General features: G+C 44.7%; 1 protein-coding gene and 1 non-coding gene across 3 annotated transcripts in view, besides 4 other annotated features; both read left to right on the forward strand.

The window, feature by feature from the left end:
* GPD1L (glycerol-3-phosphate dehydrogenase 1 like) overlaps nt 1-16,570 on the forward strand; it is a 62,090-nt gene extending 45,520 nt beyond the window's left edge. For both annotated transcript variants that reach the window (NM_015141.4, XM_006713068.3), the window contains 3 exons: nt 6,737-6,970; nt 7,429-7,535; nt 13,675-16,570. In NM_015141.4, the coding sequence (NP_055956.1) occupies nt 6,737-6,970; nt 7,429-7,535; nt 13,675-13,771 (438 nt within the window). In that variant the 3' untranslated portion in view covers nt 13,772-16,570. The remainder of the gene's footprint in view (nt 1-6,736; nt 6,971-7,428; nt 7,536-13,674) is intronic.
* Nucleotides 17,204-17,861: an enhancer, noted in NCBI's record as "H3K27ac hESC enhancer chr3:32210835-32211492 (GRCh37/hg19 assembly coordinates)". NCBI's record gives its function as "activates a minimal SCP1, AML or CMV promoter by ChIP-STARR-seq in primed H9 embryonic stem cells {active_cell/tissue: H9 hESC(primed)}" and the evidence as "EXISTENCE:reporter gene assay evidence [ECO:0000049][PMID:30033119]".
* On the forward strand, nt 20,517-20,616 carry LOC124906367 (small nucleolar RNA U13). Its single transcript, XR_007096334.1, has one exon. It is a non-coding gene; the product is annotated as a small nucleolar RNA U13 (small nucleolar RNA).
* Nucleotides 25,649-25,818: an enhancer, noted in NCBI's record as "experimental_69802 CRE fragment used in MPRA reporter constructs". NCBI's record gives its function as "activates a minimal promoter by MPRAs in K562 erythroleukemia cells, with activity observed for the introgressed 3:32219365 or rs17028988 variant allele {active_cell/tissue: K562}" and the evidence as "EXISTENCE:reporter gene assay evidence [ECO:0000049][PMID:34662402]".
* Nucleotide 25,734: a transcriptional cis regulatory region, noted in NCBI's record as "Neanderthal adaptively introgressed variant 3:32219365 (GRCh37/hg19 assembly coordinates) or rs17028988 in the experimental_69802 CRE". NCBI's record gives its function as "modulates activity of the experimental_69802 enhancer by MPRAs in K562 erythroleukemia cells {active_cell/tissue: K562}" and the evidence as "EXISTENCE:reporter gene assay evidence [ECO:0000049][PMID:34662402]".
* Nucleotides 26,124-26,293: an enhancer, noted in NCBI's record as "experimental_69804 CRE fragment used in MPRA reporter constructs". NCBI's record gives its function as "activates a minimal promoter by MPRAs in K562 erythroleukemia cells, with activity observed for both the introgressed and non-introgressed 3:32219840 variant alleles {active_cell/tissue: K562}" and the evidence as "EXISTENCE:reporter gene assay evidence [ECO:0000049][PMID:34662402]".

Consider the following 26,716-nt stretch of genomic DNA (forward strand, 5'->3'; position numbering starts at 1 on the left):
TCCTTTGAGCATGATGTTGGTGCTCCAGAAGTCTCAGATTTTGGAGCATTTTGGATTTTGGATTTTCAGATTAGGAATGCTCAAACTGTACTGGCTGAACAAGGTAGACGTTTCTTTCTTTCTTATGTAAAATCCAGAATGTATATGACAATTCTATTCTATAGAATTCGCAGGGATCCAGGCTTCTTCCAGCTCACTTGGTGCTTAGCCCATTTTGTGCTGCTATAACAGAACACTTGAGACTGGGTGATTTATAATGAACAGAAATGTATTGGCTCATACAGTTCTGGAGGCTGGAAAATCCAGTATCGGGCACCAGCAGTTCTGGTGTCTCATGAGGGCACGGTCTGTTCCAAGTGGCACCTTGAATGCTGCCGGAGGGGAGGAGCGCTGACCCTCATGCAACAGAGGAATGGAAGAGGCAAACAGAGAGCCACTCCCGGAGTCTTTTTTCTAAGGAAAAGCCTCAGTCCATTCATGAAGGCAGAACACGCATGACCAAAACACTTCCTGTTAGGCCCCACCTCCCAACACTGCCACAGTGGCCACCGAATTTCAACATGGGTTTTGGAGAGGACAAACACTGAATGGCATAGGGTAGCATAGGGTGTGGCCCTTGTCTTCATGGTCTGTGAAAGTGACCAGAGCATCAATGTCACATCTACCTTCCAAGCAGCGAGGTTAAAAAAAGAAGAAAGAAAGAAAGAAAAAAAAAAAAAGACAGACAAAGAGCACGTGGCAGCTATCTTTCAAGGAAGGTTCTGGAAAATCAACCTTGTCACTTGGCTTCATCTCAGTGGGTACACTAGGTGTGACCATAACTAGCTACAAGGCAGGCTGGAAAATCATTTTGGGGATCTTTTTTCTGGATAGCCATATACTTGCATTAAAATAAGAGATTCTATTATTGTAGAAGGAAAGAATAGATTGGGGATAAAGCAGCAGCCCGTGGTACAGGCTGGTGGTGTTCCTTTGTGGGGCTGTTCTGCAGTTCTAATTGCTGGGCATGTAGGTTTGCTCCAGGGCTTTGGCTGTGGTAAACCATGCCGGGATGCCCAGCTTTGGGTCTCATCTGTAGTCAGGGCCACTGCTCGCCCAAAAGCACCTTTATGTGAGTGAGAGCAAGGCCTACATAATCTGACATGCTAGCCACTAGACATATGTACTATTTATATTTACATTCAAATTAATTAAAATTCTTAAAAACTAAAAATTCCATTTCGGAGTCACAGTAACTACATTTTGAAGACTCAGTGGCTGACTAATGGCTACTGTATTCGATAGAGCAAATATAAAACATTTCTATCATTGCAGAAACTTCTATTGGACAACGCTCTTCCAGCTAAGGCAGCTTCATATTGGTGCGACCGACTAGGTGGGCCAAGTGTGGGCCTGCCTCAGCCTTCCTTGACATCTCAGCCAGGCTGCCTTAGACAGGGGCCAGCAGCAAACAATATGTGGCACCTTGCCTTTAGTAATCCCAAACCCTGCAGACAGTCTCCTCTTGGCAGCTAGCCTCAGGAGGAGTCGGATGGATTGTTGGACTGAGAGAAAACAGTGAGTACTGACTTGGGTTTTGGGGAGGCAGTTCTTGCTGGGTGGTGAGAATGTTTATGTAACCTGCAGGTAGCATGGGCTGGTTCTCCTGTTCTTTATTCTTTTTGTGGGAAGGTGGAAGTGGGAGAGGAATTGAGCCCCATCCAACCCACCCCTATTCAGAACTGGAAAGAGTACACTCAAGAGTGGATGATTGCCTCTGAGTATTCCGTCACTCAGGAGATGGGGAAGAGCTACATACGTCTGTTTTCTGAAAATTATGGTATTTTTAGCTCCAAAAGAGTTTAAAGCAGATTTAAATGCACAGTGGATAATGATAACTTTCACATCTGAGCGATCTCGGAGGACATCTGCTCGGATGCTGTTCAAACACGCTCTGACTGGCTCAGTATCTTTATTTTTCTTTTGACAATGGTAAGTGGTGGAGGGAGAGAATGAGGATTTCAAGATCTGTCATAAGGCGACTAAACTGGGTTGCAGCCCAGGGTCCTCTTAGAAGAGAGGAGTTTACCCTGCACTAGGTCTCCTGATCTCCCCTGGTGGGAAGGTTAAATGTCTAGTAAAAGCTTCTAGTAGAAGCTTTGGGGTGGTCTAGACTCCCATGCCCTGCAGTGAAGGGGCCACAGAGGAGCTGTGAGGGAGCACCCAGGCACCCTCATGTGGCTTTTCTGAGTACAGCAACATAGAAACACTGCTTTGGAGCTCAGGGCCTGTCCATACAGTCCTGCTTGGATGGTTCTGGTTGCAGAGAGCTCCTGCTAAATCTTTCCTGTTGGGTGAGGTCAGCTCTTCCTGTTAGAAAGTTCTCATCTGGACTCTGCGGTGGCCTCTCTGTGCCTTTCACTCACTGACCCTAGAGCAGCACGGTGTGGCGTGATCTTCTCGGGCAAGGTCCTTACTCTGTGTGCTTCAGTTTCCTATCATGTTCCCATGATAATAGGACCTGCCCTGTGACAATGTTGTGAGGTTTAAATGAGGTAATAATATATGAAGCTCTTAGAACAGTTCAGTAAGGTTTGCTGTTGCTATTTTTTATTACCTTTTCTTCTCCTAAGCTACTTTTTTTTTTTTGAGACAGGCTCACTCTGTCACCCAGGCTGGAGTGCAGTGGCATGATCTCGGCTCACTGCAACCTCCGCCTCCCCAGCTCAAGTGATCCTTCCACCTCAGCCTCCCAAGTAGGTGGGACGAAAGGTGCATGCCACCATGCCCAGCTAATTTTTTGTATTTTTGGTAGAAACAGGGTTTCACTATGTTGCCCAGGCTGGTCTCAAACTCCTGAGCTCAAGCAATCCACCCACCCCAGCCTCCCAAAGTGCTAGGATTATGCCCAACCTAAGCTACCGTTTTTACCTCCCAAGCCTTGGTGTAGGCCAGGGAGGCACTCTCCTTTGACAACCAATTGCAAAGGGTCAGGCAGGTCTTTTTGACCGAGGTTGGAGGAAGGGCAGATTTCCCACACTGGAGCAGCAAGGCACAGGGGACAGAGCGGGCTGCAAAGCCAGGCACCAGGGGCACATCCAGACTCCATCTTTTACCAGTGAGGTGTTCTCAGTGGGCCACTAAACCTCTCTGAGCCTCAGTTGTGCCAGTTGGGAAATAGGAGGATAGGTACATACTTCTGAGTCATGGGAATGATGATGAGGCAGTGTGTAACTAGCCTGGGCTGGCTGAAGGCACGTAATAAATAAGTGCCTCCCCTCCTCTGTTGACAGGAGCCCCTTGTTGAACAGAAGTCCATGTTCTCTCCCATTCAGCCCATAGACATTTCCTGGGGTTGGTTTTTCATATAACAGTTTCAGAATGGTTCATGTTGTGATGGAGGGGGAAATAGGGACACAGTCCAGGGGGCATCAGAGAGCAATTTCAGGAATCTGACCAGTTGGCCAACAGCCTAAGCCTCGCCACATTGCATGGCAACTTCAATAAAACCACTTGGCCAGCTCACCCAAGGGCTGGCCTCTGGGCTTCGGCAGTCAGACCCGCTGCATGTCCCCAGGTGTCAATCTGTTGCCCCAGTACTGGTTGCAGCCCCAGTGCAGGCTACAATTGCACCAACTTTCCTGAAAGAATGTCAATACTAGAAGGGCCTTGAAAAGTCTTGTCCAAGCCCTGAATTTTACATCTGAGGTGAAGATGGCCGGAGAGGTGGAGTGGTTGGCCTAGGTCACACTGTGACAATGTAGAGGCTCTCTGGATGTCAGTGCCGTGTACCGCTTCCGTCTCCTTGTAGCCTCCTTAGTCTGGCTGCTATGCTGGGAAGGGCGTCCAGACCTAGGTGGGCCCAGCCCCAGGTGTTCTTATGGTCCCTGCTCTTAGCCTCTGCATAGCACTCATCCTAAAAGGTCTGGCTGTCCCATCCTGACTCGGCAACTCACCCCTTCTAGAAGCAGAGCTGCAGAACTAGATCGCACCCGACCCCCCAGCATCTCTCCAGGCTCCTTTCACACGGCTTCTGCCTTGCCTCTTCCATGATGCTGCCTGTTGCTGAGAGTGTGTAAGCCGGGAATTACACACTGATGAGAACTGATGAAACCTATAGTTCGCATAGCCTGTGTGGTAGGAAGAGGCTGAGAAGCTTTCGCAGGTTCAGGCAAGTTGGTACCTTACGAAGACATATGCACTTGGTCAGGCTGTCAGTTCCTAGGACCAATTCCTCATCAGCTCTGCCTGCATCATTTTTAGAGAATTTTTCCACTTTTTCCTTTCTATGTTGACTGCAATGAGAGGCATAAGCAGCAACCGCAGTAAGCTCTCACATTATTGCTCAGGAAGAGAAGACACTAGGGGGCCTTCCTATCCCCATCCTTTATTCTCTAGCCCTCTTCATTCCACATCACCCCGTGGGAGAGGGCAAGAGAGGGCTCTGTTCTGTGGGTCTGTGGGGAGTAGACAGAAACTTCAGGAGGCCCAATTGGATGTTTTTTTTCATGTGAAGTATCTTTGCGCCTCGGTCTTCTGGTAAGCAATAGCTGTATCTAAATGACCAAGTCTGTTTGTCATGGTGAGCCCGGCCACATCAATGATATGTTTGATGTGTTTTATCAAAAACTGCCTGTGTACTAGAGAAGACATTTTTATTCCCCAGCTCATTCTGTTTTTCATCTCATCCCTCACATTTTATAGGCCTGATGTTTTAAGAAAAGTTATTCTTTCACTATAAAACTTGGTTTTATTAAAATACACTTATTTTAACTCATTTCCCAAACTAAGTTCATGTTTTAAAATCTCCCACGGCTCTCTGTACAGTCACAGGTATTACTGGAATTGCTAGTGTGGTTAGACAGTTGGATATTTGCTTTTTGGGGGGCATTGAGTGTTCTTGGTGAAGGAGCTGGAAAAGTGGAAGGGGCCAGGAACCTAGGGGCTCAACTGAAGTTCCAACTGAGTTGCCACCTGTGCAACTGTGCAGGTGTTACTTGTCATAGGTGGTAATCTGACTTTTACTTATTATTTGGGCCCAGCTCAGATGCCGCCTCCTCCATGTGGCCTTCCCTGCTGTGAACGGAAGCTTGTGGCTCCTGCCACTTGTCAGCACACTCTCTCCCCTCTGCCTTTTTTTTTTTTGAGACAGAGTCTCGCTCTCGCCCAGGCTGGAGTGCAGTGGTGCGATCTCGGCTTACTGCAAGCTCCACCTCCCAGGTTCACTCCATCCCCTCTGCCTTTTGATGTGCTTTGTTGTGTCTCTTTTCTCAGCCAGATTGTCAGCTCCTTGAGGACAAGCTCTATGTCTTAACTCTCATCTTTGCAGCTCTCCCCTGGGGGCATCTTCAGCCCCTGCATTCCCCCTGCCACCCGCTAGCCCCTGCAATCACTGTGTCCCTCCAGGGCTGAGTGGGGTGCTCCCCACACAGTACATGCTCAGTGCATACCTGTTGAAACGGAATTTCAGATTCTCAGTACCTTTTATGGAATATCACTTTCTGCTGAGCATTAACAGTTATTTGTACACGTTTTATTTTTCCTGTAAGGTCAGGGCTGGTAAACGTTTTCCATCAGGGCCAGACAGAAGAGGCCTTGTGGACCATATGGTCTCTGTTGCAATTACTCAAATCTGCAACCATAGACGATGTGTAAATGAATGGGTATGGCTGGGTTCCCGTAAAACATTATTTACAAAACAGGCAGTTGGCCTAGATTGCCAGCCCCCTTAGCAGATTTTCAGCTTCTGAAAAGGCAGGCTCTGTGTCTCATTTGCCTTGTGTCTAGCAGAGGCCATGCAGAGAGTGAGTGCTCCATAAATACTCATTTGGGGATTATTAAATGAAGCAAAAGGCTGGAATTTGAGCTGCACACATACAGGCCTCATGACCCAGTGTTTCAATTCCTAGGTCATACCCAACAGGATTGCCTGCACGTAGTCACCGGAGGGCATGTGCCAGGGTGTCCATGGCAGCACTGTTTGTCATGGCCCCAAACTGGAATCTACCCCAGTGCCAGTTGACAGGAGATAATTAAATCAATTGCAGCATATTCACAAAATGGAATACTATGCAGCAATTAAAATAAATGTGCTCTATGTAAAAATATGGATGAATCTCACAAACACGATGTTGAATTAAGATGAAGCTACACATAAAATATTACATATTGTATGACTCCATTCACAAAAAGTTGAAAGGCAGGTAAAACACATCTATGCTGTGAGAAGTGAGGAGAGTGGTTACCTTTGGTGGTGGAGGTGGGCTGGAAGGGGTTCTCGGGAGCTTCCTGAAGCACTGGCTGTGCTTTTCTCCTTGATCAGTGTGCTGGCTATGGGGGTATGCTCAGTTTGTGAAAATTCTTCAATCCGTGCACTTAGGATTTGTGTACTTTTCTGTATGAATGTTATGGTTGCATAAAGCATTCCATTTAAAACAAAACAAAAAGTAAAGTAGTTTGTCCAAACATTATTTAACCAAAGACTACTATCAGCCGTTCTGATTTTCTGTCCAATGCTCTTCAACTGCTGACCCCAAATATGGGCTCTTTGTCCTAGAAAGGGGAATATGGAAGCCCTGTCTCTCCTTTCGTCATCTCTTTCACCCAGGTGTACAAGAGCAGAGCCCGGCATTGAGTATTTTGAAGATGGAGCCAATGTCCCTGGTCTGCCCCTGCCTCGGCATCCCCCACCACCTCTGGCATCCATACCCGTGGTGGGTGCTGTAACGGCATCTGGGCTTTGTCATCTCCTTTGCAGAACATCGTAGCTGTGGGAGCTGGGTTCTGCGACGGCCTCCGCTGTGGAGACAACACCAAAGCGGCCGTCATCCGCCTGGGACTCATGGAAATGATTGCTTTTGCCAGGATCTTCTGCAAAGGCCAAGTGTCTACAGCCACCTTCCTAGAGAGCTGCGGGGTGGCCGACCTGATCACCACCTGTTACGGAGGGCGGAACCGCAGGGTGGCCGAGGCCTTCGCCAGAACTGGGAAGGTAGCCCCTCACCTGCTCTCCCGCACCCCCTCCTTCCTCACTTGAGACTCCTGGCTTGGGGTGAACTGCAGCCCAGTGGAGATTTCATGCCAGCATCTATTTGCTGGGATTGTTCCGTTTGCCTGGCTGCTTTTTCACTTGACTCTTCTGTTCTTTATCTTTGTGTCTTTATCTTTCCTTGGCTTCCAGCAGGGGACTGAAGCTCTTCTCTCACTCTGCTCTTGAAATAATTGATGCTAGGCCGGGCGTGGTGGCTCATGCCTGTAATCCCACCACTTTGGGAGGCCAAGGTGGGAGGATTGCTTTAGGCCGCAAGTTCGAGGCCAGCCTGCACAGCATAGCAAGACCCATTCTCTAAAAAAAAAAAAAAAGAAAAAAAACACTTAAAAATTAAACAAATAAATGATTCTTTAGTCTTTACCATAGTTTTTTTAAATATATAATCCTTTGTTTTTAAGACCATTGAAGAGTTGGAGAAGGAGATGCTGAATGGGCAAAAGCTCCAAGGACCGCAGACTTCTGCTGAAGTGTACCGCATCCTCAAACAGAAGGGACTACTGGACAAGTAAGTCTCTCAGTCGCCCATGAGACCAGATAAATGTCCATCATTCCTATTCTCAGGACTTCCAGCCCCACGGAGATGAGCTAGACTATTTGACAAGTGCCCTTAGAACTTATCTGGATTAGTTCAGTCCTTTGTGTGATGTGAACGTCTGTGATGAGAAGCATCTACCTACTCCCAAAACATGTGTTTACACAAAACCAGGCTCAACTTCAATGAAAGGAGCTCAATTCTATAAGTCATGTTATAAAATACAAAATTTAAGATTCTAGTTTGTCTCGCAGGGTGTTTGGTAAAAGCTACATATCATACGTTTTAAAATTTGTAAAAATTACTTTTTTGTTTTTATTAAAAAGTATGGTTATGTTATTAAAATGTCAAGTCAGAAAAGAAGGAAGGACGAGTTAGCCCAACATTATACCATTAGAAGGTAGCTCTGTTAAGTTTGGTGCACAGCCTTCCAGTCTCTTCATCGGGTGGGTAGATGGGGCTTAGGATGGGATGGGATGGGATGGAATGGGATGAAGGGATGGATGATGGGTGGGTGGGTTGGCAGGTGGGAAGGGATGGGATGAGATAGATGGATGGATGGATGATGGATGGGTGCATGGGTAGATGGGTGAGTGGATGGGTGGGATGGGTGAATGGATGGATGATGGGTGGGTGGGATGGGATGGGATGAGATGGATGGATGGATGGATGGATGGATGGATTATGGATGGGTGCATGGGTGGATGGGTGAGTGGATGGGTGGGATGGGTGAATGGATGGATGATGGGTGGGTGGGTGGGATGGGATGAGATAGATGGAGGGATGGATGATGGATGGGCGCATGGGTAGATGGGTGAGTGGATGGGTGGGATGGGTGAATGGATGGATGATGGGTGGGTGGGTGGGATGGGATGAGATAGACGGAGGGATGGATAATGGATGGGTGCATGGATAGATGGGTGAGTGGATGGGTGGGATGGGTGAATGGATGGATAGATGGGTGGGTGCATCCATCCTCCATTGCCCTTCCAGGCCAGTTGTGTGTTAAAGGTGGGCTTAAGTCAGTTTATTTGCCACCTGATTGAGAGAGTGAGCCCTGTAGCACCAGAAAAGCTTCCCAGCCTCTCCTGAGGCCACTCTCCAGCCCTACCTGCTCCACAGCACTTTCTCTTGCCGATTTACTGAGCATGATTGTGGAGGACCATAATCATGATGCCAACTACACCACTGCATAAATGCTTATGCAGCATATTGCATGTATCCTTAACTCTCCCGTAATACTCTCTAGGGGAGGGGAGGTCTTGTTGCCTAGGACTGAAGGGAGCTGGGCAGCTGGAATGACATGCTGATTGTGGCTAATTTAGAGCATGAGCTTCTCTCCAAGCTGGGAGGAGGGTCGTGGATGTTGTTGCTATTATCTCTGGTTGCAGCTCCTTTATCCTGGTTCTGTCAGTTTAGGTGTCTGCTGGTCCCAGTCATGCATCTTTACCTCCCCCTGCACCCAGCACCCCTCCTCCTTTTACCCAGAACAAATTAATCAGCCATGGAGTTCTGTACTGAAAGTTAAAAATGAGGGTGGATGGAGCATTTGTCTTACCTTTTAAATTTGCACTTTATTTTTCTGAAATGGCTTTTAAAACCAGCCATGCAGAGATGGAAGTTCACAAACAGGCTGCCAAAGGAGGAGAACTACCTTTAAATTGTGGCTAAAAGGAAAATGCCTCTGACATGCATGGTTTTCCTTACCTACTTAGCAGCAGACAGTGATATGTTTGTGTGTGGTTGGACTACTTTAATGACCACTGAGCATTTATCAAGAAATTTTTTTAAGTCTCAAAAAAAAATAATACTTGGCTGTTTAGTGAGACTCTCCCAACCAGAATTTTCAAGTGGCATCTTGAAACACACCCCAAGTGTGCTACCATGGGGTGCCTTGATAGGATTCTCTGGATGGACAGGTTGGCTGGGCATTAGCCTGTTAGCTCCAGGGGGACATGGACTAGAATTGCGATTCTGGGGCCAGTAGCTCCCTGTTTTCAAAAGCAGGTGTAATCAAGCAGGTAAATCTCTGCTCTGAGCAGACATCTCTCCTTGGTCATGTCCCATTTTATTTCTTCTGATTAGAGATTGAACAGGCTCCACCTGTGCTTAATAACATCGCTGCTGGATTGGACGTGGCAGCACCCTTCTCCTGGGCTGGAGTGTAGAATCCCCTGGGACTCCTCCCCATTCCTTGTACCACCTGCCTCCCAAAGGCAGAGGCCTATTGTGCTCCCTTTGCACCACCTCTTACTTTGATTCCTTTTTCCTTTTTCATTCTGACCACCACTACTCCGGTCTTCCTCTGTTTCCTTCTCCCTCCCTTCTCTTCTCCATTGCTATAGAAAAAATAGCAGGAGGGCAGCATTCAAGGCTGCCCTGTGGCTTATTAGCCCTGTGGCCTTGGGCAAGTCACGTATTTAGCTGTTCTGTGCCCCGGTGTTCTTATCCACAAAATTAAGATGGAAGACCAGATGAACACCATGGTCCCTACCAGCTTGAGCATTCACATTCAGAGGCCTCCTGCTCTTATAGAGTGAAGCACATGGTCCTTAGGCAGATGTGGCCCCCCTCAATCTAGCACCAATGTAACTTCCTGCAGTACATCCTCTTACTCCCTATGGTACCGTCTTTTCTTGAATGGAACTTTTCTTTGCCTCTCATTTTACCTTAATTACCTTTTCTTTTTTTTTTTGAGACGGAGTCTCGCTCTGTCGCCCAGGCCGGACTGCGGACTGCAGTGGCGCAATCTCGGCTCACTGCAAGCTCCGCTTCCCGGGTTCAAGCCATTCTCCTGCCTCAGCCTCCCCAGTAGCTGGGACTACAGGCGCCCGCCACCGCGCCCGGCTAATTTTTTGTATTTTTAGTAGAGACGGGGTTTCACCTTGTTAGCCAGGATGGTCTCGATCTCCTGACCTCATGATCCACCCGCCTCGGCCTCCCAAAGTGCCCTTAATTACCTTTTCAAAGACCGTGTCACATTCTGAGATACTAGGGGTTAGGACCTAAGCATATTAATTGGGAGGAGGGCACAATTCAGCCCGTACACAACATGTTCTCTGAGGTGCATGTTGCAAGCTCCTGGGTCTCACTCTGTCACCCAGGCTGGAGTGCAATGGTGCAATCTCAGCACTGCAATCTCCGCCTCCCATGTTTAAGTAATTCTCTTGCCTCAGCCTCTCCAGTAGCTGGGATTACAGGCGTGTGCCCCTATACCCAGCTAATTTTTGCATTTTTAGTAGAGACTGGTTTTTACCACGTTGCCCAGGCTGGTCTCGAACTCCTGGCCTCAAGCAATCTGCCCACCTTGGCTTCCCAAAGTGCTGGATTACAGGCATGAGCCACCACGCCTGGCCTGGCTTTATTTATAATACTGCACATCCCTGCACTTAGTCTGAAGTCTGAAACATCTTAAGCCCTCAGTATTGATTAGTGGGATAGCTGGCTGACTGGTTTGTCCTTTTTTTTTTTTTTTTTTTTTTTTTGAGACAGAGTCTTGCTCTGTCGCCCAGGCTGGAGTGCAGTGGCACGATCTTGGCTCACTGCAACCTCCACCTCCCAGGTTCACACCATTCTTCTGCCTCAGCCTCCTGAGTAGCTGGGACTACAGGCGCCCGCCACCACGCCCAGCTAAGTTTTTGTATTTTTAGTAGAGACGGGGTTTCACTGTGTTAGCCAAGATGGTCTCGATCTCCTGACCTCGTGATCCACCTGCCTCAACCTCCCAAAGTGCTGAGATTACAGGCGTGAGCCAGCACACCCAGGCCTCTGGTTTGTCATTTTTTTAAATGAAATGTTGTCTTTTTCTTCCTTTCACCTCTAACTTTATTTAGAGAGTCTTCCAAACTGATCTAATTGTCCTTTTAGCATTTTATGTAATAGAAAATAATATTTAGATGGGCAGTGTAGCCTAATGGTTGATCATTGGCTTCAGAGTCCAAAACTGTGGTTCAATTTACTCATATATAGAATGGGGACAATATTTTCTACCTCATGGGGTGATTGTAAGGATTAAACAAGTTACTCGTCTGTAGAAATTTCTCTTCCACACACTTCATATCTCTTGTTAACATCCCTTCCACAGAATGCACTTTGGAAATGATAGTTTTAAAAGTTGGGAGTGCTTTCAGCTGCAAGACCAACACACAGTTATAACAGGGAATATGGAGGTGAACATTATTAAAGTGTTGGCCCAGTGGCTCTGGCTCTGGATTAGAATCTCAGTGATCCTGTTGGCTTTCCCTTGAACCTCAAGATGGCTGCAGCAGCTCCAGGCATCACATTCACTTTTACACTCAGGAAGGGAACAAGAGTAGTCTGGGGTAACAGATTTTTCCTCTAGTGCCTCTCGAGAAATCTTCCTCGAGAAACCTTCAGCAGATATATTATGTCTTGCTGCCTAGGACTGTGTTACTTGACCAATTCTAGGTGAAAGGCTAGGAAGGTGAGTAGTCTCTTCCAACCTTGGGGAAAGGGAGAAGCAGGTTGGAAATGGCTTTGGATGGCCAGTCATCTGCTACCACACTGCTTTGGGGACATATACATTGTTCTTGTTTTAGGAACAGGGAAACATAGCATGGAAGGACAAAGAAAGGGGCTGAAGTTTCTAGGCTTTAAATCCAATCCACAGGAATTTATTCAACGAATTCTCACGGAGCACCTGCCCCTTGCCGTGCATGGTGCCAGGCACTGAGGATACAGTAGTGAAAAAAACAGACTTGGTCCCAGTCCTCAGGGAGCTTTCTCGGTCCAGGACACACTATCCATCTTGTGGCTGCTATTATAAGCTGTTGTTACTGCACATCCACCATTTGCCAAGTGTGTACTGTGTGCTTCACACATAAGTCATTTAATACTTGCAGCAAGGCTGTGTATCCAGTCCCATTTTACAGATGGGCAAACAGGGTCAGAAGGATTGTGAAACTTGCCCAGAGTTAGTAGGCTGTAGAGTCAGAGTTGATTAGGTCTACCTGACTCCAAAAAAATAAAACATTCCACAAAAAAGTAGCAAAACATTCCGTACCTTAAAAAAACTACAATGAAGAAACAACCCTACAACGATAGACTCTCATAAAGACATGTGATCTATTAGTACTATTTGTTCTTCTTAAAAATTATCATTATAAGGTTCTGTCCAGCTAATTTTCAGGATTGCCTTTCAAGACTCTATTGATTCTGCCAAGCTCACTTTGAGCTATGTGTGTGTGTGTATTTAAAAGCCTGGGCCGGCGCGGTGGCTCACGCCTGTAATCCCAGCACTTTGGGAGGCCGAGGTGGGTGGATCATGAGGTTAGGAGTTTGAGACCAGCCTGACCAACATGGTAAAACCCCGTCTCTACTAAAAATACAAAAATTAGCCAGGCGTGGTGGCACACACCTGTAATCCCAACTACTCTCAGGAGACTGAGGCAGCAGAATCGCTTGAATCCAGGAGGCAGAGGTTGCAGTGAGACAAGATCATGCCACCGCACTCCAGCCTGGGCGATAGAGTGAGACTTTGTCGCAAAAGAAAAGAAAAAAGAAAAAAAGCCTGATGAAATTATTTCTTTAGTGATTTTTCACTTATATCTGTATTCACATCTTGGAAGAAAAGGTAAGATAAATCAAGCTTCTGACATAAGATGAGTGCTTTGCTAATCGTGGGTCCTCACTCGGATTCTTGCGGGAGCATTCCAGCCTACATTATTTGTTACCTTGGGATGATTCTTTTTGGAGAAGGGAGAGCAATGCCTCCTTGCAATTTAAAAATTTATTTTTACAACTTTTAAAATAATGACAGAATATAGACTCCTCCAAGATTTGACCAAGAGTTGGAGCCACAGCTCCTATGTAAATGACAACAGTTTGCCCTGGTAGGATCACCGTGTGACTTGGTTGTGGACAGTGTGCTCCAAGCTTAATTAGGCAGAGGATGGTCTAGGTTGCCCCAGGATCTGACAGCCACATTCCAGAGGCTCTCTGCAGACCAAATAATAAAGGAATGTAGAAAGTGCTCACTGTGTTTTCCATAGTCACATACTAACCTGCAATCTGTTAGGACAGAAAACCTAACTTATTCTCTGAGGTAAATCCAGTGGCCTAACTTTGTCTTTTCACATTTCCTCCCAACTAGGTTTCCATTGTTTACTGCAGTGTATCAGATCTGCTACGAAAGCAGACCAGTTCAAGAGATGTTGTCTTGTCTTCAGAGCCATCCAGAGCATACATAAAGTGAATCATGCAACGTGTTGGGGGAAGTTCTGCCTTTCTGATCAATCTTTTGGGTTCACGTGGAAACCAGGACTTGGCAACATGATGTTTGACTGTAATCTCATCACGGATATGTATGAATTTTTACAGGTTCGTTTTTGAATTGTGAGAGGCAGTTCATTAGCAAAGATGTACTGGGCAGTAACTAAACACACATGCAAACATGTGAATGGTGGTTTATTCCTCATTCTGTGGATGTTTCTATGAGCCAAAATTTGATGTCTTTTTTTCAAAATTGCTTATGAAATTTCCACACAATCGTAGCTTATAAGATTGGAACGATCTCAGCCAAATATTTTAGGTGTAATTCATATGTATTTGAGTGGAGGATTTTTTTTCTCATTTTTCTAGTGTTAAATTTTAACCAGCATTAACATGGTAGAGTGGAGGAGTGAGTGTGTTCAAAGATCAACATATTTAACTTTTAAACACTATCTCAAAGCCAGCATAATTAACTACTTTGATTGTGGGCTGACCTTTGTTTTTTTAACAATCAGGCATTTTTAATTAGATAATCCACTCATGTATTTCCCCCTCACTGCAGTTGTCTGCATTTTTAGCCTCTTTTCTCTTCGTTAGTTGTCAGAATATGCCTTCGTCAAGGCTCAGAGGTAACAAGACAGAAAATTCATCTGGGATTTTCCTGCTGTGGCTGGCACATTCTTCTGATTAACAGACACTTGTATGATGCTTTAGGCTAGTTAGTGCATTTTTTAGCAAACATTTATCTTAAACATCACAGATCCACTGGGGGGTGCAAGGGGCTACTGTTAGTCCTCTTGTTAGATGCAGTCACTCCTCCTGGTCACCTAGTGAGCAGGGACAGAGCCAGGAGTCAAGTGCAGTGCCAAGGTGCATGACCCTCTGAGAAGTCACTGGGCTGATTTGACCTCCGACTCATTGGTTGTGCAAATGCCATGTGCAGCCTTTCCTGAGGCCATAGGAGGGCTTCCTGCAGCTGAGATCTATGCAGGCCATCCTCTCAACAAGTGCCACTCCAAGGGCGGTCCTCGGTGCAGCAGCATCAGCTTCACTTGTGGGGGGGTGGGGGAAGGGGCGGTCTCAGAAATGCAGGTTCCCAGGTCCCACCCTGGACTTCTGAAGGGGTGTGGCATCTGTGTTTCTGATGCTTACTACAATATGTGAACCACTACTTTAGAAAATCTGCTTTAACTTGGTATTCCTCTAATTGTGTTCCCTAGGAAATGACTGTCCCAAGAGCCAGTGATTATTCCAGGTGTTCCCTGGAAAGGTCAAGTGAGTCTGGGAAACACTATGTCTGTACACCTCTTGAAGGTGTCGAATGTATGTTTATACATCAGTGGAACCCATTTTTCTAGCCTAGCAAGTCCCAAACACATTACACTGAAGAGATTTTGGTGAGGAAACTTGCTGGAGTTTTCAGGGAACACTGTTCTAGGCTTAGGTGACCTTAGGATCACTCAAGTAGACCCTTCACTCCCTGCGAGAAATTAGGATGAATAACTACCTGTGGCATTGTTGGTTCTGAACTTTTACAGTTCAGGCCTGCTGTGAATCTTTGATGAAGCTTTAAGGTGACACTGTTGTACAAGATGTCAGCTTTGCTGAAACGCACATTACCTGGAATAAGTGCTTTAATTGTAGAATTAGAATGGGATTTACTGTACTGTTTTAAATGAGATTGGCTTCAGAATCCATTACAGTTACCTTACATAGCACTTGATACGTGTTAAATGAACATATGAATGTAATTTATATATTCCTAGAATTTAAGTTACTTTGTGAGATTTGGGCCTGTCCCTCAATGCCAGTTTAGGATTTCTTTTTTTCTATACCTTGAAATGATTATAAAATAGATTTTCATGGGAATTTTAAAAACTCTATCCAAAACATTTTTGGAGCATTTTAAAGCCCCATACACAGAAGTATACGAAAGCACACAAAACACTCCAAGTTTCAGCAGTTTTAGCGCCACCATTAACCCACTTTGCTTGTCTCATGAAAAATCTTTGTTAAAGTTTGTACACAGGTAACAAAAAGTTACTTTAAAAGATATATAAAGGGCTGTAAGCTAATTGTGGTGTCTAGTAAGTAGCATAATGAGATGTGAGGAGTTGGAACTTTGCGTGTTTTGCGTATTTTCATCTGCATTCAGCTTCTTACTCTGGGTTTGTACTCGAGTGTTATTTCTTTACAAATGCCCTTGTAATTACCACTCTGAAGTCTGCTGACTGTGTCTCTTGAACATACTTAGGATATTCTGCACATTATGGAAAAAGGTAAATTTTAGAAGTTTCTGCTCTACTAACTGTAGATATTTATGACTCTGCGAGTTATCTATTTTTATAACCACCTGTGGTCCATTGTTCATTTTAATTCACATTTCTTATGAAGTATGGTAACAGGGAGGGAGACACCTAGATTAGCAGCTCAATTTGTACTACTTCAGCCAATCTGTGAATGTAAAAACTACACTGTTGCCTTGCTAGGATCCACCCTCCTATAATATGGAACAAATATCTGAATGAAATCCACCCTAGGAGACGGAGTCAAACTAAACTTGTGGTTTTTCATTTAACTTTTGACTACAGCATGGCCCCATGGCATCCACACCAAGAGGGTGTTGTGATGAGGTGCCGGTGTGCAAAGGGAACTTTAGTTTTTCCACTGGTTCTTATCTGCTAGCCTTTTACATACATGTGTACTATATTTGTTTATAGACTGTAGGTGGATATATAATTTAAAAGCTTGATTTAATAAACATTTAACCCCCTAAACTTGCACCGTGGATCCTGTTTTTCTTTTTATCAGCTTAGGTAATCATTTTATTTGTCGGCTTTTTCTTTTTTCCTGAACTGTGTTTCATTACCAATATCAAAAACAGTTTTCAACAGAAGGGCTTCATCTCTAATCCCAGGCCTTAAATGCATCTGTTTTTATTGTTTACTGATATTTTTATACAATTGCAGTTTAGGATGGAGACCTTCTAGTGAATTTGAAATCCCCTTCTCCCCACTCCATGTATACCTTTAAAAGCTGGGAAAATATAACCAGTGCTGATCTCGTAAAAATGTAAGGGAGCTCTCCCTCTACCTCTACCTCTACCTCTCTACCTCTCTACCTCTCTACCTCTCTACCTCTCTACCTCTCTACCTCTACCTCTACCTCTCCGTCTCCCTCTCTTTCCACGGTCTCCCTCTGATGCTGAGCCGAAGCTGGACTGTACTGCTGCCATCTCGGCTCACTGCAACCTCCCTGCCTGATTCTCCTGCCTCAGCCTGCCGAGTGCCTGCGATTGCAGGCGCGCGCCGCCACGCCTCACTGGTTTTCGTATTTTTTTGGTGTAGACGGGGATTCGCTGTGTTGGCTGGGCTGGTCTCCAGCTCCTAACCGCGAGTGATCCGCCAGCCTCGGCCTCCCGAGATGCCAGGATTGCAGACGGAGTCTGGTTCACTCAGTGCTCAATGGTGCCCAGGCTGGAGTGCAGTGGCGTGATCTCGGCTCGCTACAACCTCCACCTCCCAGCCGCCTGCCTTGGCCTTCCAAAGTGCCAAGAGTGCAGCCTCTGCCCGGCCGCCACCCCATCTGGGAAGTGAGGAGCGTCTCTGCCTGGCCGCCCATCGTCTGGGACGTGAGGAGCCCCTCTGCCTGGCTGCCCCGTCTGGAAAGTGAGGAGCATCTCTGCCCGGCCGCCATCCCATCTAGGCAGTGAGGAGCGCCTCTTCCCGGCCGCCATCCCATCTAGGAAGTGAGGAGCGTCTCTGCCCGGCCGCCCGTCGTCTGAGATGTGGGGAGCGCCTCTGCCCCGCCGCCCCATCTGGGAGGTGAGGAGACCCTCCGCCTGGCAACCGCCCCGTCTGAGAAGTGAGGAGCCCCTCCGCCCGGCAGCCACCCCGTCTGGGAAGTGAGGAGCGTCTCCGCCCGGCAGCCACCCCGTCCGGGAAGGAGGTGGGGGTCAGCCCTTGCCAGGCCAGCCGCCCCGTCCGGGAAGGGGGGGGGGTCAGCCCCCGGCCCGGCCAGCCACCCCGTCCGGGAGGGAGGTGGGGGGGTCAGCCCCCCGCCCGGCCAGCTGCCCCGTCCGGGAGGTGAGGGGTGCCTCTGCCTGGCCACCCCTACTGGGAAGTGAGGAGCCCCTCTGCCCGGCCACCACCCCGTCTGGGAGGTGTACCCAACAGCTCATTGAGAATGGGCCATGATGACAATGGCGGTTTTGTGGAATGGAAATGGGGGAAAGGTGGGGAAAAGATTGAGAAATCGGATGGTTGCCGTGTCTGTGTAGAAAGAAGTAGACATGGGAGACTTTTCATTTTGTTCTCTACTAAGAAAAATTCTTCTGCCTTGGGATCCTGTTGATCTGTGACCTTACCCCCAACCCTGTGCTCTCTGAAACATGTGCTGTGTCCACTCAGGGTTAAATGGATTAAGGGCGGTGCAAGATGTGCTTTGTTGAACAGATGCTTGAGGGCAGCATGCTCGTTAAGAGTCATCACCACTCCTTAATCTCAAGTGCCCAGTGACACAGACACTGCGGAGGGCCGCAGGGTCCTCTGCCTAGGAAAACCAGAGACCTTTGTTCACTTGTTTATCTGCTGACCTTCCCTCCACTATTGTCCTGTGACCCTGCCAAATCCCCCTCTGCGAGAAACACCCAAGAATGATCAATAAAAAAAAAAAAAAATGTAAGGGAAATTCCTAGAATCCTGAAACAAATAGGGGACTGATTGCCAGAGTCGAAAGAATTGAGTTGTGAAGCTTATGCTACACGAGAGCCCACCAAAGGCTATGTTGTCAGGGAAAAAAATGAAATAAGAAAACCCAGGTAGAGGTACAAACAAAGAAGCTGGGCTCCATGTGAGAAAAATGTTTTGTTTTGTTTGCTACAGAGTCTTGCTCTGTCACCCAGTGGTGGCACACACCTGTGGTCCCAGCTACTCGGGGCTGAGGTGGGAGGATCACCTGAGCCCAGGACGGTTGAGGCTGCAGTGAGCAGAGATCATGCCACTGCACTCCAGCCTGGGAGATAGAGCAGTGAGACACTGTCTTGAAAAGATAAATAAAATAGTTGAAAAATAATTCATTATGAGTGAAAACCAACAGATTTTTAAAAACAGAGTTAGAACCGTAGGATTTCAGATAATTTGAGTAATACGATAGATGCTTTTTTAAAATCATTTGAAATCCTTTATAGAGATGGGGGTCTTACTATGTTGCCCAGACTCGACTGCAGTGGTGTGATCATAGCTCACTGCAGCCTCCAACTCCTGGGCCCAAGCAGTCCTCCTGCCTCAGCCTCCAAGTAGCTAAGACTCCAGGGGCATGGTACCACACCCAGCTTTTTTTTTAAAGTAAAGATAGGGTCTTGCTATGTTGCCCAGTCTGGTCTCAAACTCCTGGCCTCAAGCAATCCTCCTGTCTTGGCCTCCCAAAGCCCTGGTACTACAAGCATGAGCCTGGCCAGATGCTTTGAAAGATATTTTTAAAAATAAAGGCATAAAAGAAGGATTAAAAAATAAATTGTATGGGAGGAAAAAAAAAAAGAACCCAGCCAGGCAGATTTGAAAAGGAACCTATTCAAACATTTAGGAATGAATATAATCATTTGAAGTTTAAAAATAGGCAGATGGAAAGATTAAAGACTAGATTTGACAGAGCTGCAGATGGAATTGGCAAACTGGAAAATAGATCTGAGGATATTAAAGTAGCAAAGAAAATATTTGAGAATTTAAAGATTAAGTGGAAGATAGAATAGGACTTGAACATACATCTGATAGGAGTTACAGAAGAGAGAAAAAGGAGGCAATTTTTGAAGAAAAGGCTGAAATTTGTCCCGATTTAATTATGTGCATTCAATTTTATGTTATTCTCCATAATGTATTTCCATTAAAATTTAATCACATGGTCTTTATAGCTTTTTATGACTGCATATAAACTAAGTTGATGGTGAACGTTTTTGAGGAAATACGCTTTATGAAGAATCTGTGTGGATAATCTAATTTACTGAAGCTGTGATTGATTCAAGTTACTGAAGCAAGTGATGTTACCTTTGGTAGGATGGGAGACAGCAGGCCTGGTACTGTGGGAAGACTTGTTCTAGCTCCTGCTTAACATTTAATATCCATGTTGTTTAGCCAAGTCAGCTAACTTCTCTTTGAGGTTCATTTTTCTCATTCGTAAGTGGGAATAATATCTGTGCAGCCTACCTCATAGGATTGCTGTTAAGGTCCGTAAAGAGCAGGAAATCAACATATTAAAGGAGAAAAATTAAATGATCATGGCGATATCTGCTTGTGGCAGAAACAATGCCATGTGTTCACTAAATTATTTTTTCTTTTCTTTTTTTTTTTTTTGTAGATACACAGTTAAATTACATTTCCCAACCTCCCCAGCAGTTAGGTGGCATCACATGATTGAGTTCTAGTCAATGGCATAGGGAGAGAAAAGTGCCACTTTCATGTGTTCTGTCTGGTTCTTTATTATTTCTTCTGTGCGTGCTGGTTGTATATCAATTTCCAGTATGTTCTGGAAGCCATACATTGAAGATGATGGACCCCCTTTTCAGCCAGGATTCTACAAGACAATATGGAGAAAGTACCCCCCAATCACATTGGTCTGTGATTGATAGGTACAAAAATTATTGTATTATGCCACTGAGACATAGGAGTTACTTGTTATAGCAGCTAGCATAACTTCACTTCATACATTGCTAAAAAGATGTTTGAGGAGATCCTTTTGTGGTTGATAAGTGTGATGATTCAGTTTTCATGCTCATGTATGAGATGTGCCCCCAATCAAACTTGTCACAACATCTGCTTATTATCAGACATGAAAAAAAATAGATGTTTCAGGAATTTAAAAATTGAACTTGCAGAAACATCAAGAGATTAGGGAAATTTTAATCCCTTGGTCACTACAGCATCACAGTGTCTGTTTTGCCATCACTTTTTTGGACACAGGAGGCTATATATGAGTGTGGGCGTGCCTATGGGTATGTCTGTCTGACTCTTCCCTACCCAGGATAACTCTGGCTAAATCCAAATTTGTATATCCAATAGTCCTTCTTTCTCCCTCTCACTCTATTTTTTTTTTTTTTTTTGAGACAGAGTCTTACTCTGTCACCCAGGCTGGAGTGCAATGGCATAGTCTAGGCTCACTGCAACCTCCGCCTCCCAGGTTCAAGTGATTCTCCTACCTCAGCCTCCAGAGTAGCTGGGATTACAGGTGCATGCCACCACACCCGGCTAATTTTTGTATTTTTAGTAGAGACGGGGTTTCACCATGTTGGCCAGGCTGGTCTCAAACCCCTGATCTCGTGATCCATCCGCCTCGGCCTCCCAAAGTGCTGGGATTATAGGCATGAGCCACCATGCTCAGCCTCATCCTTCTTTCTCTAGGACTAATGCCAGCAAGTTCCAGGACTTATAACATGTGCTTAACATCAGAGAAGTCTTCACCAGGTGGTGATGTCCTTAAGATGTCTTCCTCATTTCAAAAGCTTTAAGTTAGAAATGTCACTAGATCTTAGATAAGGCCATATGCTACTTGTAACCTCCTGAAACCTGTCTGTCTGAAACCTGAAGGAGTGGTTCTTCAGCTCCCCCTCAAAGACTTAGGAATTAAACTTGTCTGAATTGTACACATTGTGAGTGAAATAGTGCCACTGGAAAGTACTTTACTGTTGAACTCAATGCACCCTGTTATTTGTCAAATTGGTGTTATTTGACTCGTTACAAATGGAAATGCTTTTATGCTATGATGGAAGTGTTATTTGCATTTTTGTTACTAGTCTTATTTTTAAATAATTTTTCAATAGGTAACACAGTCATTTGGTTCAAAAATAAAGCCTGCTTCCCAAGTAGTTATTAGTTTTTAACAATCTCTTCTAGAATTTCATTTCACACACATAAGCAAAATATATATATTCTCATTCCCTTCCCCATTTCTCTACATAAAATTGAGCTTACTTGATGCATTGTTACACATCTTGCTTTTTTTACTTAACATGACATCTTGACAATCTTTTATATCAGTTATTTTTAATAACTGCATGTTTAACTTTTTACTTTGAAATAATTACGGATTCATAGTAAATTGCAAAGGTACCCTTCACCCAATTTTCCCTAATATATCAACACCTAGTTTTTAAAATTGTAAGTTAAAATAACAGTAGCGAAACACTTTCAGCACTGCTCTTTTTCTTTCTTTTTAGTCAGGGTTTCCCTCTGTTGCCCAGGCTGGACTGCAGTGGCTCGATCCTAGCCCACTGCAGCCTCCAACTCCTGGGCTGAAGCATTCCTCCTGCCTCAGCTTCTTCCAATAGCTGGGACTTCAGGCATGAGCCACCACACCCAGCTAATTTCTGAATATTTTGTGAAACCAGGGTCTCACCATGTTACCAAGGCTGATCTTGAACTCCTGGCCTCAAGTGATTCTCCTGCCTTGGCCCCCCAAAGTGCTGGGATTATCGGTATAAGCCACCATGCCTGGCCCACTTTTAGCACTGTTCTAAGTGCTTTGCATAGATGAACATTAATAAAAATGTATCACCCCCATATACAGATGGGGAAACTAAGGCACAAAGAGGATAAAGAACGTGTCCAAATAACAGAGATAGTAATTAATGAGGCCACGTTTTGGACCTGGGGAGTTTGGCTTAAAAGTCTGTGTTCTTAACTCTTAGATAAGACTACATTAACTCCTTTGAGTAATGGGTGTTCATAGTTAAGCAAAAGCAAACAATGATGTGAAGGGTTGAAAGTGTAATCATTCAATTCTTTTGCAGACTTTCATAAATGTACTGTGTTCATGCATGCGATATATTTTAAGACAATACTGTTTTAAAACTTTTTTAATAGTTTTAATATTGAACTTTCTGTATCAATATAATCTCCTACATCATTCTACATATCTGCATCATTTTCTATGACTCTTCCTTAGTTTATTACAGATAAATGTTTGTTTTCTTTTTATTATAATAACTGGTGCAGAAAACATTCTTGCACATGGATTTCTGCTCATTTATATGAGTGAATCTACATCATAAAATCCTGGAAGCGGAATTGCTGGCTCAAAGGTATGTGTGTTCTATACTTTAATGGAAACCGCCAAATCCCCCTTCACAAAGATGGCTGCAATTTATGCTTCTGACCTCACTTTCTGTTCCTAATTACCTCTACAGCCTCTATTAGGGAATTCTTTATAATAACCAGAGACCTAAATTGAACCAAATAAGTCCCAGAAATGTGAGCCTTTGTACTTAATAATTTATGTCTCTCCTGTCAGTTTCACTGTAAAAAATAAAATTTTTTGTTATTCAAAACTACAATTGTGTTAAAGCAGCCATCTTACTATATAGTTGTAATAGTTGGTACTGAAAGTTTTTTTTTTTTTTTTTTTGAGACAGGGTCTTGCTCTGTCACTCAGGCTGGAGTGCAATGGCACAATCTTGGCTCACTGCAACCTCCACTTCCCAGGTTCAAGCAATTCTGCCTCAGCCTCCCAAGTAGCTAGGATTACAGGCACCCGCCATCACGCCCAGCTAGTTTTTTGTATTTTTAGTAGAGACGGGGTTTCACCATGTTGGTCAGGCTGGTCTTGAACTCCTGACCTCAGGTGATCTACTCACCTCGGCCTCCCAAAGTGCGGGGATCACAGGTGTAAGCCACCGCACCTGGCCTTGAAAGTTTTTATAGTCACAGAAATGTTCATGTAAATGAGATGTTTATAACGAATGTTAAAACAAGAAACATTTTTTTAATCACAAATTCACTATTTATTCAAAACCTCTTCAAGCTGTTGTCAAAACAAGCTGAAATGGGGGTAAGATGCTTTTCTGGGAGAGTTCCAGGTTCTAATTAACTATGACCCTTGCCCACTAGAGGTCGCTCTTCGTGAATAACTTCCCTAGGCAGTTGGCATGCTGTGAAAGACATCACTATTCCTATGGCATTTTGGTCAAGTTTTTAGAAGAACACGTATTTCTTATGAACTAAACTAAATTTGTACTAGAAAGCGCCCAGTGTCTACGTTTCACTTTGACTTTTAAACTCAAAACAGACCACAATTTCTTCTTGTTATTCCAATAAAACTTTATTTACAAATATAGACAGTGGGTCAGATTTGGCTTGAAGTCTGTCAATCCCTAGGTTAGCAGGCAAATTTTTTAAACAGGAAAAATAGAGTTGATGCGGCCTTTCTCTGCAAGGGGACAAAGCCTGGGAAATAGAGGTCTGGAGCAAAATGTGAGTCCCCAGAATACAAAGGATACAAATGAAGAGATGCATAGGGTCAGGTATGGGGCCAGGGGCATGGAGCTTCTACGCCCTCCCTGGGCACGCCAGCCTCCGGGGACCTCCATGTGTTCAGCTATCCGGAAACTCCCAGACCACACATTTTGACATACAGCAGCTTTACTTTCACTGCTGGCCTGTGTCCACCTAGATGTCTGGGGGACTTTTGTTGCTTCTTGATCTCTTTCTCTTCCTTGATGTCGGAGACCCACTTATGAACATCTTTACTAAATTTCTGTTTTCTTCTGTCTCTCATTCTGACACTGACATTCTGACAAAAGCAAAAACACTTGCTTCCTGCTTTCTGCTTTTAGGAAAGATTCCAGGAACACACCTGGGAAATACTTTTAAAGGAGGCAGTTTCAGCAAGGAGAGTGGTAGGAAAGATAAAACCTCTTTGCATCCTAATCTTTCTGGTTTGCTTGTCTGTTATCTTTGGAGACAGCATAATTTTCACTAGGATGCTGTGTAATCATGAAGCTAATGAAATGTAAGCTTCAAGACCCTCACTTGTGTAAATCCTTTCTAAGGCCCTGTACCAAACTTTGTTTTCATAGATTTTTATTTTTCTTAAAGTCATAACCCCCTAAAACTAGTCCATCTCTAGTTTCAGAACTTTGGAGTCAGGTGGGGGTTCAAATTTTAGACCTGTGTGAACTTGGGGAGCTAACTTCCCCCTAGGCCTTAATTTTCTTTTCTGTAAATAGTATCTTTTATCTTGGGTTTCTTGAGAAGTCAGAAAACATGTCATTTGCTTTTCCCAATTCCCTGAACATATTAGGGGACTTCATGATGGAAAGAACCCAGAGAGAAAATGACAAATCCATATTTGGATGGAATTGCTTGGGACCTTTGTGGGGAGATGTGCAGGAAGCAAGAGGACACTCTGGACAACAGATCAAAAGGGGATGAGGAGCAGAGATGTTGGGTGAGGCCAGTGTCCAGGCAGTTACTGAAGCCAGAGTTGGGTGAAGGAAGTATCTGTGTGGCAGGAAGGAAGAAGCGGGAGTCTAAGCCCAGCACAGTGTCCAGGGTGAGGCCTGAACTTCAGAAGTTCACATTTCATTTCTTGCGGGTAATTTATGAATCTTGCATCCCATTGCTCAGGACTTACTCATTCAGGACTCTGTTCTCATTGATCCTGCCGTCCTAAGTGTGACAACCGTTTGAAATTAATTATTGCAATACCCAGGATAATCACTTGAGGGCAGCACTGCGCAAGGGTTATTCAACCAACAACGTTCATTTAACAGATACTTATTGAGGACATGTCGTGTGCTAAGCAAAGTTGTAACTAGGGTCAAGGAAAGCTTTCCTGAGGAAGTGACCCTCGACCCATGTAGCAGGATGGGGTGGAATTAAATAGGGAAGGAAGAGGTGTTCCAGGTAAAGGTAGCAGCATGTGCTAAGGCTCTGTGATGGCAGAAAGCCTGGGAGTGGGGGAAGAAGGGACAGTGCCGTGGTAGCTGGAAAAGTGAGTGGGATGTGGATGCAGATCGGGATTACAGCTCAGTTTCTGGAGCCTATTAACATTTTCTGAGCGGTTACTATGTGTCGGGCCCTTTCCTATAACTTATTTCAGGGAAGGTGGTAATAGTCCCATTTTACAAAGGCACAGAGGTATGGCTACCACCAGTCTTTCTTCAAGGCACCTCTCCTTCCCAGAGCATCCTTGTCTCCACTGGACACTTAGTCCTACCTTTCCTTCAACACATGGGTCAATTGTGGCTTCAAGTTGAATATCTTACTGATCATTTTGTGCATACAACGTGTTCTGGTGACTGGGCAGTTCTCCCTAAGCCAGAGGTTCTACTGATACTGTGTGTCCTCAGTATCTAGCCCACAGATGACCACTAGGGGATGCTCTGTTCCAGTTGGTTCCTGTCTGGAAATAGGCACATGACATGGCGATTTGGCAGAACAAATGACATAGTGATGTAGTAGATCTTGGCTCCACTTCATCCCTCCCTGAATCCATGCATTTTGCCACAAGACTTTACAGGCTTTACAGACACGGTATATCTCCCAGGCCCTCAAATCTGGCTTTGCTCTTGTGACTTGCTTTGCCAATGCAGTGTGGCAGGAGTGATGGTGTGCCAGATGCAAGCAATATATATATTTATCAACTCGACTTTCTCCTATACTTTTGCTCTATTTAGTCTCATTTTGAAGGAGATAAAATATGAATTCTATTTTAAATATTTTTATTGCATACAATAGCTCAAATTCATTTCTTTTTATCTGCTGTCTTACTTTCCATTATATGAATAAATCCCATTCTAGTTATTCATTTCCCTATTGATGGGATTTAGGTTGTTTGAAGGTTCTCTTTTTTTTTTTACTAATAAAGAAACAAAATGGGAAATATTTCTGTGCATGCCTCTTGTGTACCTAAGTGAGACTTTCTCATGGGTATATACTAGGAAGCCATGGGATACTCACATCTTCAAATTTACTAAAATATTACTAAATTGCTTTTCAAAGAACTTGGACCAATCTATTCTCCCACCATTATTAGTATAGAAGAATTCTCATTTCTCCACATTTGGCATCACCTGGTGTTGCCATACTAATTTGTGTAGGTTTTTGCCAATCTGATAGGTCTGAAATGGTATCTGGTTGATATTTTAATGTTCA

The sequence above is a fragment of the Homo sapiens genome, chromosome 3 (assembly GCF_000001405.40).
Source record: "Homo sapiens chromosome 3, GRCh38.p14 Primary Assembly".
NCBI classification, from domain to species: Eukaryota; Metazoa; Chordata; class Mammalia; order Primates; family Hominidae; genus Homo; species Homo sapiens.